General features: G+C 44.8%; 2 annotated features.

The window, feature by feature from the left end:
* Positions 364-945: an enhancer, noted in NCBI's record as "OCT4-NANOG hESC enhancer chr5:148349629-148350210 (GRCh37/hg19 assembly coordinates)". NCBI's record gives its function as "activates a minimal SCP1, AML or CMV promoter by ChIP-STARR-seq in naive H9 embryonic stem cells {active_cell/tissue: H9 hESC(naive)}" and the evidence as "EXISTENCE:reporter gene assay evidence [ECO:0000049][PMID:30033119]".
* Positions 9,040-9,559: an enhancer, noted in NCBI's record as "H3K4me1 hESC enhancer chr5:148358305-148358824 (GRCh37/hg19 assembly coordinates)". NCBI's record gives its function as "activates a minimal SCP1, AML or CMV promoter by ChIP-STARR-seq in naive H9 embryonic stem cells {active_cell/tissue: H9 hESC(naive)}" and the evidence as "EXISTENCE:reporter gene assay evidence [ECO:0000049][PMID:30033119]".

Here is a 12,423-nt window from a genome sequence, read left to right on the forward strand (position 1 = left end):
CCCTCCCGCTAAGGCAGCCAATCCTAACATGAGCTCATCAACAAACATACACTAAGACCCACTAGAAGCCAGTTGCCATGTGAGGGGTTAAATAATAATAGCTATAGTTTATGGACTGTCTCCTACAGGTGGGACACAGCTTCCAATGCTTTACCCACATTGTCTCAATTCATCATCACAATGGCCCTGTTACTTTCCTCTTTCTGTAATAACTATTCATGCTGTTTGAATCACTGGGAGGTTTTTCATTGCATTGCACAGAATTCTGTTTTCCTTTTTGCTTTTTTTGTTTGTCTTTTGCCCTCAGAAAAGGCTAATAAATTCAACCAAATGGCTGGAGTTGGAGGGAGGAAGCAGGGATGACCTTGTCTGAAAGATGGTCTCAAACCCCTTCTCCTGCCTCTATCCAAAGACAAGCCTTCACCTGAAATATGAAGTGAGGCTGATGAGAAAGTCCAGTCTCTGCCTGTGTTTCACCATCTCCAGTTTCAGAGGCAGCAGCTTCAAACTACTGCTGGAAATCAGAGCCAACTAGGGCCCCAGGGGAAGAAGGAAAGAGAACACAGATTCACCTGAATGAAGGTCAGTGATGGCTCCCCCTGAGTCTGGCAATCTCTCCTGGACCTGAGGAGACCACCTGGTCCCTCAGATCCCCCTGCAGGGGCAGGAATGTCTGAGCCAGGGCATTGTTTCTGTGGAATCTTCCCACCAATGAATCTCCCAGCAGGACCAACTGTTTGGCTGTATTTAAACTGTCATTTAGCCAAGGCAGTTTGCTGGCACACCCAACTTCAACCCAGCAAGCACAACAGGTCTGCAGCTCGCGCCAAAGCTTGTTTAAACATCATTTGAACCAAACAGCCAGTCAATTTAAAAATACTCCAAGCCAAAAGCCAATGAGATTTGAAAACAAGAAAAACTGAAAATGAAAATAAAAGGGAAATATATGAATTTATGTATGTACTCATTTATTTATTAGTTAAACATTGCCTTTTTCCAGAGAGAATCTAAGATGTCAAAGGCCAAGTTGTTTTTTAAAATAAAACAGTACTAGATATGTTCTGTAAATTTCAATGATATCACAAAAATTCAACTTGGGTAAACATTTAAAACACAAAGTGTGTGTGTGTGTGTGCACGTGTGTGTGTGTGCATGTATGTGCGTGTGTTTTAACAGATGAGGAAATTGAAGCTCAGGGAGATTAAGGCCCTTGCCAGAGTCACACAGCAGTGAATGGTAACATAAGGACTGTCCCAAGTCCTCTGCTATGTGTATGGATGCGCACGCACCTACCTATACTTGCTGAGGCCACACTCTTGTTTCAGGCCCAACAGGGTCTGGAATATAAGGGTTTTTCTTCTCTTTTGCTCCCAAACATAAAAGGGATGTCATATCTCATTTTCACCTGAGTCATGCATTTATTCCTTCAGAATCATTTATTGAAGTCCAGCCACATGCCACCCACTGAACTGGACATTTGGGATACAGTGGCCAAAAAGCCACATACAATTGCTGTGCACACAGAGCTTACATTTAAGACAGCTTGGAAGCCAGCAGCGTGTGCTCTGTACTGAAACTGGGGCATTCATATTTATAAGCCCTCTGAGCCAGAAAAACATTTAGAGGTCACCTAGACCAGGGTTTCCCAAAGTCCAACCATTCAGGTACCAACCCCACAGTTTTTGTCATATGTCAATAACACTTTCATATATGTCTTCAAGTGTTCTCATCTACATAAACACATCTGTTTTCAGAGAAAGCCCTCTATCACTGCTGTAAACAGAAAACTGGAATCACTTGTCTAAAATAAAAGGTAACCATAAAAATAAGTAAAACAAAGACAAAACAATATGATTAAATTATCAGCTAAGCACAGTGGCTCCTGCCTGTAATCCCAGCACTTTGGGAGGCAGAGGCGGGTGGATCACCTGAGATCAGGAGTTCGAGACTAGCCTGGCCAACATGATGAAACCCCGTCTCTACCAAAAATACAAAAATTAGCTGGACGTAGTGGCGGGTGCCTGTAATCCCAGGTACTCGGGAGGCTGAGGCAGGAGAATAGCTTGAACCCAGGAGGCGGAGGTTGAAGTGAGCAGAGATCGCAACATTGCACTCCAGTCTGGGCGACAAGAGCAAAATAACGTCTCAAAAAATATATATATATCATCTAGAAAGACACTTGAAGTCCAAGTAAGATTGAGCTTGAAGGCTGTTCTCATTTTGTAAAAACATAAGCTCAGGAAGTGTTGAAGATATTTTAACTCTACACTGAGACTTTCTTCTTTCCTTTATCAAGAAGATTAAAGGAGAATTCAATCAGGCACAACTTTCTATGATTTAATTGTTTTTAATGTTGTGTTAAACAGTCATGACATTTAGGAAATCATTATCTAGTCCAACTCTAAAACCCAGAGACAGGCAGCTACTGGACCAAGGTCACATAGCAAATGAATGGCAGAAAAAACACCCAGTCTCTGTTCCTACAGTAGACTGCAGATCAGCAAACTAACATCTGAATAAACTCTTGGATTTGCTCTTTACCACAATCGAAGACTGATTTGATCCACTTAACTTTTGGATGAAAAACAACTGTAACCCATCTCAAAGTGGCAGATATAGTGATCCCTCTCAATTTTCCTTTTTCTCTGTTTTATCTATCCACTCATTTTCCATGTGTCATGGGTCTTATAACAGAAATATGCTGAGATTTCTAATAAAACCTAGAAAATTTTGTGGAAACCTCCGAACACCCCAAAATTCAAATATAATCCTTAGATAACCTGCTGTAATATGGAATTCAGGAAGAAAAAAATCCCCAGCGCCACCCGACAAGAACTCCTTGTCCTATAAAATCCTCAGTGTGTACAGCCCATACTTGGCAAACTTCACCACATACCAACTATAACTCTTTAAATCAGGCCTGGAGATAAATGAGAAGAAACCCTCTCTCACCCACTAAGGTCACCTGCAACTTGCCTGCCCCTAATCCCCCTCAGAAGGCAGCTTTCAGCAATGTCCCCGGGAAATAGTTGGCTGTGAGAACACACAGAAGCCTCAGCCTGCAAAGGAGGCACATTCTGGAGTCCTTGCACATGGTTTCCTCTCCAGGAAGGTGAGGCCAGGGTTTCCATGTTCTTCTCCCAGGCCAGAATGGAGAAAGAGGAGAAGATGACAGTGAATGACATCTGGCCACTTTTTCTCTTTGAGCTGACACAGGAACACTTTAGGGCTGCTCAGAGGGACTGAAAGCCATCCTTTATGGAGGTAACTCAAGCTCAGCTTTTCTCTGTCTGAGGGAAGGCAGCCTGCTTAACTGCCCAGATTAGACTGTACTGATCTACCTTATTTGAGTGGCAGAATAACCCTGTGCCCTCCAGAACTGGTGCCCTGTGAACACCCAAAAGCAAAGAGAAGTGACTCTTGTTCCTAATGTGGAAAGAGCAGAACTTCCTATGATGCAGCTGGCACTTCCTGAAATAGAACAGGATTTGAGCAAATAGTTTTCACTAGGCGGGTAGGAAAAGCTGCGTGTGGCTCGATATTTCCTTAGTGGTGACTCAGACCCTCGCTCCTGGCTGCTGTCTCATCCTGGTTGGGTCTGTTTTCCAATTATCGCGCTCAGCCCTCAGATTCCCTCTCCCAGGGTCCCCTTTTGCCAGTGTTTATCGTCCCACCAGCCTATTCTAGTTCTGGGGAGGTCACGTCTCTGTCTTACCTTTTATGTCACTTATACTCAGCTACAATTTCTTTTATGAAATTGATTAGAATTTGATCAACAGTTTATGTTTGTTTCCAGAACACCTCCTGTCTGGCTCTGCCTCCTTCCAGAAGAGATGATGATTTATGCTTATCTCAGTCAGAAGCAAGTCTTCCAAATCTGTAATTTGGAACTGTTTTCAAATTTTGGGCATTTGCCCAGTTACTACCAAAATTACTTGGAGAGAAGTGTAACAAGGGTGGTGATTCAGCAAAGACTGCCTTAGACATGCTGCATCACCCAAAATCCATTCCAGACTTTGAGGCCCTGTCTCAAATTGGCTCTTATTCAATCAACATTTAGTGAGTCCTGACTATGAACGACGCATTGTGCTTGGGGTACAGACATAAAAAAAAGCCTGGTCCCTAATGCCCACATTATATGCCAATGTGGAAAAGACTGCAACGGAGTTATCTCAAAGCATGGGGGGAGTCTCAGAGCGAGGTGTGACCTGGACCCTGCCTGCCTCTCCAGCTGCACTCACAGCATCCTCACCATCTTCACTCTGCTTGGTCCCACTGCCCTTCATTCTGCTTCGGGTTGCCCTGCTCGTCCCTCTGCCTAGAACCATCTTTTCCCGTCACTTCACTTGGCTAGCTCCTGCTCATCAGTCAGTCTCAGTTTATGCATCCTCCTCAAACGGGTCTTCCCCAGTCATCTCATCATCCCCTGTAGCTTCTCCACATGCACCCCAGCAGTCTCTATCATGTCACCTCTGTTTTCTCCCTGGAAACATTCTTTCAGTATCTGACACTACCTTGTTTATTTATTTGCATATTGCATATTGCCTGTTTCTCCAAAACAAAACGGAGTCTCCACAGGGGCAGGAATTTTGAACCTGTGTTTATCACTATGTCCTTAATACCTCCAATAGTCTTGGCACACATTAGATGTGCCAACAGTAAATACTTGATGATTGAATGAATAATACTTTCTGTGGGGAAATTGGGAAAGGATTCATAAGGATGTGACTTTAGGAGGTAGCCAGGTGACCAGTTATACAGGTGAGCATCTCCCATAGAAAGGCATGATGCTTTAGGGGAATAGCAGCAGGTACTGCAGGCCACGCAAGTGATCTCGAAGGAGGGTGAAAAATCAGGCAGGGCCCCCATGGTGACGATCTGTGGATGTCAATCTCAGGAGTTTTTATTTTTTTCCACTAGGGCAGTGACAAGGTCACTCATCAGCTAAACCTGAAGGAAGCAGCTAATCATATTTCACAGGAGGTCTTCACCCATACAAGTGAGAGACTAGGGGCTCACGCTGTGAAATTGCCCAGGCTCTTTGCCAGCACCCCTAATAATGCTATCACGACTGCTTACTAAAACTCACCATGTGTCAAGCGCTTCACTGACATCATCTTATTTAATCCTCACAACATCCTTAGAAGAGATCTTATCTTCCCCATTTGGCAGATAAAGAGGAAAAGAGGAGAAGTGATTTGCTTAGAATCTGCTAACTAGAAGAGCTGGGATTTGAACCCAGGCATTCAGACCCCAGAGTACATACCTTACCAGCTTCTATTCCTTGGGAATGGAAAAGTTTTTCTGATTTTGCATGAAAGGGTGCCCAAGATGGAACATTCTAGATTCCTTGCTGTCCTCATTTTCAGGCACCGACCTGCATGTTCATGATATAAATCATTCACCTTCCTGCCTGTTCGGAATGTTGGCATTTTGCCTTCAATCCCCTGCTGCCTACATTCTTCGGACATTCACTGAGGATGGCATGTGTGGCCAGGGCCTTGACTGAGTTACTTAGCTCAGATTTAGTCTCTTTGGGTCTCACCACTTAAGAGCTAATTTCTGTCTTCAAGCATGTCCCAGGGAAGTAGGAGACTAAGGCAAGGATAAAAAAAGTGGACTAAGATTAGTGCTAAGGGAGTTTCTGTGCAAAACATCCATCTTCGAGCCCCTCAGTTGGCTGGACAGTACTCTTAGGGTAAAAACAAAAGTCTTTGTCAGGGCCCTGCCTGGTTATTCTTCAAATCCCAGCTCAGTGGGAGAAAATTTTTGCAACCTACTCATCTGACGAAGGGCTAATATCCAGAATCTACAATGAACTCAAACAAATTTACAAGAAAAAAACAAACAACCCCATCAAAAAGTGGGCAAAGGATATGAACAGACACTTCTCAAAAGAAGACATTTATGCAGCCAAAAAACACATGAAAAAATGCTCATCATCACTGGCCATCAGAGAAATGCAAATCAAAACCACAATGAGATACCATCTCACACCAGTTAGAATGGCAATCATTAAAAAGTCAGGAAACAACAGGTGCTGCAGAGGATGTGGAGAAACAGGAAAACTTTTACACTGTTGGTGGGACTGTAAACTAGTTTAACCATTGTGGAAGACAGTGTGGCGATTCCTCAGGGATCTAGAACTAGAAATACCATTTGACCCAGCCATCCCATTACTGGGTATATACCCAAAGGATTATAAATCAGGCTGCTATAAAGACACATGCACACGTATGTTTATTGTGGCACCATTCACAATAGCAAAGACTTGGAACCAACCCAAATGTCCAACAATGATAGACTGGATTAAGAAAATGTGGCACATATATACCATGGAATACTATGCAGCCATAAAAAATGATGAGTTCATGTCCTTTGTAGGGACATGGATGAAGCTGGAAACCATCATTCTCAGCAAACTATCACAAGAACAAAAAACCAAACACTGCATGTTCTCACTCATAGGTGGGAATTGAACAATGAGAACACATGGACACAGGAAGGGGAACATCACACACCAGGGACTGTTGTGGGGTGGTGCGGTGGGGGAGGGATAGCATTAGGAGATATATCTAATGCTAAATGACGAGGTAATGGGTGCAGCACACCAACATGGCACATGTATACATATGTAACAAACCTGACGTTGTGCACATGTATCCTAAAACTTAAAGTGTAATAATAATAAAATAAAATAAATAGCAAAGAAGACTTAAAGAAAAAAAAAACAATCCCAGCTCAGTAGCTTCAGGGAAGCCTTCTCTTTTATGTCAAACCCCTCTCTATTAGGCTGTCAAAGCAACACCACCTGTTTTCCTTGGCTCTTATCATAGAGGCACTGTTGTATTTATATGGGTGATTATTTGTTTAACATAAGTCTTCCCCACTAGAATGTGAGCACCATGAACGCAAGGACTTGCCTGCTTTTCCTCAATATTCTCTCTCCAGGGCCCAGCACAGGGCCTCTTCATACTGGCTGCTCAATAAATATAGGTTGATTAAATGAACTCAGAGTTGGAAGGCAGTTACTGCATGAGTGATTGAGGGCATTACTTAATCTCTTTAATTTTCTCATTTGCAATTTGGATAATATCTGCTCTATGTCCTTTTGAAAGCCATGAAATAAAATTAAGTGCTTAATAAATTATTAAGTGCTGTACAGATTATTTCTACTAAGGAACTACAGACTGAGTCTATCCCCAGGATTTGGAGCACTTTCAGGAATGTCAGCCTCAAAAACTGGAGCTGAGAGGACAGTGAATAGAGGCACGACATGCTGTTCCTTTGTTTAAATGGAAATGGCCACAGAAGCTTGTAAACTCAGTCATCATTGTGTCACCTGAGGCCAACTGGAAATCTGGGCCTCTCCTCCAGAAGCCATGCCTGGAATAGCACAGGGTACTGTGGTCTTTGCAATTGAACTCTGATGGGTCTGAGGTCATGGTTGTTGTCAGGACAGCTGTGTGAGTGTGTGGTCTAGAGGGCAAAAAGAAGAGACCAAAAGACATGCCTGTGTGTCTCCAGCATAGTCTGAGAAAGAAGAAGCTTTGATGGGCAAAGCTCCAGTACAAATATCCTCAGAATTGGAGACGTGAACTCACCACACTTCTGAGGAAACTCTGCCAGCCGACGGCCCCCATATTCAATTATTGCTAAGTATTTTCATTCCTAACCTCATCCTCTAGCTGAGCTGACCCCTAGTTTCTACTAACCTGGGAGAGAGAACCACAGCTTTGGAGGCTGAAAACCTAGATCAAGTCCTAGAAAATAAACAAATGACCAAATACTGAGTCCCTGCTGTGTGCCAGGCGCTGTGCTAAGAACAGGATGTGCTTTAGTTCATTTGCTCTCCCCAGCAGTCCTCTAATGCAGGCAGAAGTACCCCCAACCCCATTTTACAGATGAGGAAATGAGCCTAGCTGCCTGCCCAAGGTCACACAGCTCAAACATAAGCTTCCTACGGCTCAGTTTCCTGATTCACATAATGAGACAAAGCAACTCATCACAGGATAAGAATAAAAATCAAGTGGACTGATGGCGTTGAGTGTCACATGAGGCTTAGATTTTGGGATCAGCAGCATCAACATCACCTTCAAGCTTGTTACAAATGCGGAGTTTGTGGTATCATTCCAAACTACTGACCCAAAGTCTGCATTTTAACATGATTCGAAGGTGACGTATATGCACTTTAAAGTTTTGAGAAGCTCAGATGTAAGGTTATTAGCCCCCACTATAAACTCTTGAGCTAGCATCCGACTCATTACTGCCTTCTCAATTTGGTTAGTGAGAATCTATCACTCTGTACCTTGATTGCTTCTAGGACAGTTTAACGTGAACACAAATCAGTGGGGGCTGTTGATAACTGCAGATTCTCATCCAGGGGGTCTGAGGTGAGGCCCCAGAGTCTGTGCTTCTCACATGTTCCCAGCTGATGCCACAGAAGACTTTGAACTACACTCTCAATAATGAGGGGTGAGAGGAACCTGGCAAATCAAATATCTGCATCTGCAAAGTGGAAACCAGGCTTTGTGCTTGAATGACATTCATCAAGGAAAGGCACCTCCACCAGGGCATACACGTCTAGAGGGAAGGGAGCATCTCCAGTCTTCCTTGCATTCTCAGCACTTAGCTGAAAGAATGGGCATTACTCCCCTGCTTAACAGTGTCCAGTGGCTTCCTATACACACAAAACCCCACACTGCTCACCAGAGCTCACAAAGCCTGACCCAACCTTGCCCCACTGGCCTCCCTGACCCCTTCATACCTCTCCTCCTCCACTGAAGTCCCACCACACCAGACTTTTTTCTGTTTCTCAAACACACCAAGCTTTTTCCTGCCTCAGGGTCTTGGCACCTGCTCTCCCCTCGACCTGGAATGCCCTCCCTCCAGCTCTTTCCATAGCTGATTCATACCTCAGCTCAAATTTCACCTCCTCAGCGAGGCCGTCCCTGACTGACCTGCCTAACCTGGTGTACCCACACCCCACCCCAAAACTCTCAAACATGAGATTTTTTTTTCTTGCTTAGCCCTTATCAGCCTGAAAATGTTTCATTTGTTTATTTACTTATTGGTAGTTGCTTTTTCTCTCTGATTCTTATGAAAGCAGAGACTTTGTCCACAACTTCTGGTGCACAGTAGGTGCTCAATAAATAGCTGTGGAGTGAACGGATGAATGGACTAACACATCTCCAGGAACTCATAATTTGCTCCTGTCGCTACAACAAAGGAGGGGAAGATGGGCTATGGGAGGCCAGAAGAGGAGCGAGCATTCCTCCTGGATGAGGAGGAGGCAGGGACGGGGAGGAGGGGCCATAATCAGGGCCAGCTCCCTGAAAGAAGTGGTTTTAAACTTCACCTGGAAGGGTGGAAAGGATTTTGACAGGCAATGGTAGGTGGAAACAGCCACTCCAGGCAGAGAGAACAGTTTGTACAGAGGCTCAGAAGCTGGCAAGGGCGGAGGGCTTAGGGAACAGTGCATACAACTGACGGGTGGAGGCTGAGAATTTGCCCCGTTCCTGCCCAACCCATGGCTCCAGGCAGAGACAGCCCTCCCTGCAGGAGTGACAGAGTCTGGCAGGAGTCCTGCAGCTGAGCAGCTGAGGTCAGAGCCTCTCCTCACCAAGCCTCGGCCACACCCATAACCTAGATGACAGATGAGGCATTAGGAGGGGACAAGTGGGTCTGGGGATCGGGACCCACCTCCATCCTACTCCCCACCTCACTCTAGCAGGCAGCTCCGAGGCCCATCTGGCTTCTGCCCTCTTGTCTCTATGGTTCCTTCAGTCCAAGGGTGAGCAAACTTTCTGTAAAAGGCCAGCTGGTAAATATTTTGGGACTGTGGGTCAGATAGTCTCTGTTGCAACTACTCAGCTCTGCTGCTGTGGCATGAAGCCTGCCACAGACAAGACATAAGCAAATGGTGGTTCCAACAAGACTTTATTTACTAAGACAGCTGGGAGGCCTATGTTTTGATTTATGGATCTCCTGCCACTTTTGAGACCCCAAATGCCCTGTGCCGTCTGCCTTCTGGCCTAATCCCACCTCTACAGTCTACAGCCTCCTCTCATTGCCCCCTTGGTTCTTCCCACCCAGGCACCTGGATCTCTAAGGGCTTCTGCAAACACGTGGTTCTCTCTCTCTGTCTCTGTCTCTCTGTCTCCCTCTCCCTCTCTCTCTCTTTCTCTCTCTCCCCTTCTCTATCTCTTTCTCACCTGTGCTCCTTCACACCTGGCTTCCTGCTCCCTGTGGAGTTCCTTTTCTGTCTCCAGTTGTGCCTTTGAAACCCTGACTTGTCCTCACTTACCAGTCACATCACTCTCTCAAGGGAACTTTTCAGATGCTCCAGATGCCAGGCCCTCTCAGGTGCCCACATATTCTCTCTTTACAGAGCTTGGCACATTGCAATTATTTCATAAACCACTTGTGATCATTTGTTTCAGGTCCATGCTTATTTCTAAGTCCAAATGGGAAGAAACCACATTCATCAGCCTTTTCTATTCCATTCCCAGAGCCAAGGACAGGGAGCATGGCACATAAAATGTCCTCAATAAACATTTGTTGACTGTTCCTTAGGTCATGGCCCATAAGACTCGTTCATTCATTCGCCACTGTTGCTCATGCACCTACTATGGACCAGCCATTGTGCTGCACAGGGAAGATACAGGAGTGACACATGCACGGAAGGTCTCTGCCCTTTGAGGAGCTCACATTGTATTGGGGGTAACACATTCTAGAAACTGGATTCTATTAGTCTCAGTGTGTGACCTTAGCAAGGCACCTAATTGTCTGAGCTGCCTAGAAAATAGAGACAGACTGAATTGCCTAATTTAGAGTTTCCAACTACATTTTGAGGAATCCTGGGGTTCTGTAGTGCTTCCTAGGTTCAGCAAACAGTGATGTTTCTTTCCAGGAAGAATTCAATGGCCTAAATAAGCTATTTGTTGTTGTTGTTGTTGTTGTTGTTGTTGTTGTTTTGCCATTTTCTGTTATGGAGTTCCACTGAAAAGTTCACATGTAAAGTAGGTTCCACTGCTCAAGAAAGAGTTGGAAGCCACTTGCTAAGTCTGCACATGGTATGGGCCAGAGTTGAGGAAGGTAGAAACTCTCAGTGCCTCCAAGATGGGGTCAGGAGAAGCTAGCCAGATGTGCATGGGGGAATGACTTTCTGGGAAACAGAAGATGGTGTCCAAGGAAATACACAGATGGAGTGCCAGCCAGAGAGAGAGAGAGAGAGCAATCCAACAGAGATCCAGCAAGATGGGACGGAGACGGGCACTCCCTGGGTCTTGAGCACATGGAACTGAATGCCTGGTCACTGACAGTGGTCAGAGGTCTCGGCAAGAAAAATGAAGGTTCTGGGAGTTCTGAGAGCAATAGGACCAGAGCCTAAGGGAGAGATAGGGGTAACAGGTAAGCAAGATTCCAGTCTCAAAGAAGCTGAGACCTAAATACAAAGAGACAAGACTTAAATCAGAACCAAAGCCCATGGTGGGGACCCGGTTGGTTTCTGAGAGGGGCACCATGACCCACAAATCAGGTCAGAGTTGGAACTGCAGCAAGCTGATTTATGCTTCTAATCAAGCTTCCTGCCCAGAAGTCTCTAAGTCTCCCACTACTGCTTGTCCAAAGTCTCCCGGACAGCAAGAGGGAAGAAGCAGAAACACAGCTCCCTTTACCTGATCCCTTGAGCCGTGTTTTTCCCACTACCTAACCCATGCGATGCAAACTGGACTACGTTCCAAATCCAAATAGGATTTTCTAAGCCTGCACTAGACAATGAGTTGTTTATTGAGTGCTTAGTGAAAGGGAGAAGATAATTTACTCTTAGCTGAGTTCTGGCTCATGTCCTCAGGAACCAGACTGACATTTATGTTTTAGCACCAGCCCATTAGGGGAACTGGAATGGCTTTTTCTGCCTGTAGCTGAGCATCTCCGGGGCGGTCTTAATGGTGATCTTAAAGTTCCGTCTACATAATACCAAAGCTACAGGTCAGTTCAGGCCAAAAATAATAAATAAAAATCACTACTATTAATAGTAAGCTTGTGAGAGCACTCTGCTCACTTTGCACTTTATCCTACTTGCTCCTAAAGATCACCGATCTTGGGGAGGAAGCAGAGGGACAGGCTAACGTGCTCCCACCTCACTTTAGGATTTCCCTCTGCTACATCACCCTGTGGTACTCTTCAAAGCACTTAACACTCTTTAAGCTAATAGTCTATTTTTAAATGCCTTCCAACTAGACTATAAGCCCCACAAGACAGGGAGTGTGTCTTTCTTGGGTAGGGCTTTATCTCCAGTGCCTAAAATCTGATAAATGCTCAGGAAATAGATATTGTATGTGCTGAATGATGTCAATAATGAATTTGGGGTGAAAAAAAGGTGGAAATATGTGCGAGGATATTACTATCATTTGAGTGATA

This window comes from Homo sapiens, chromosome 5, assembly GCF_000001405.40.
Source record: "Homo sapiens chromosome 5, GRCh38.p14 Primary Assembly".
In the NCBI taxonomy this organism is placed as follows: Eukaryota; Metazoa; Chordata; class Mammalia; order Primates; family Hominidae; genus Homo; species Homo sapiens.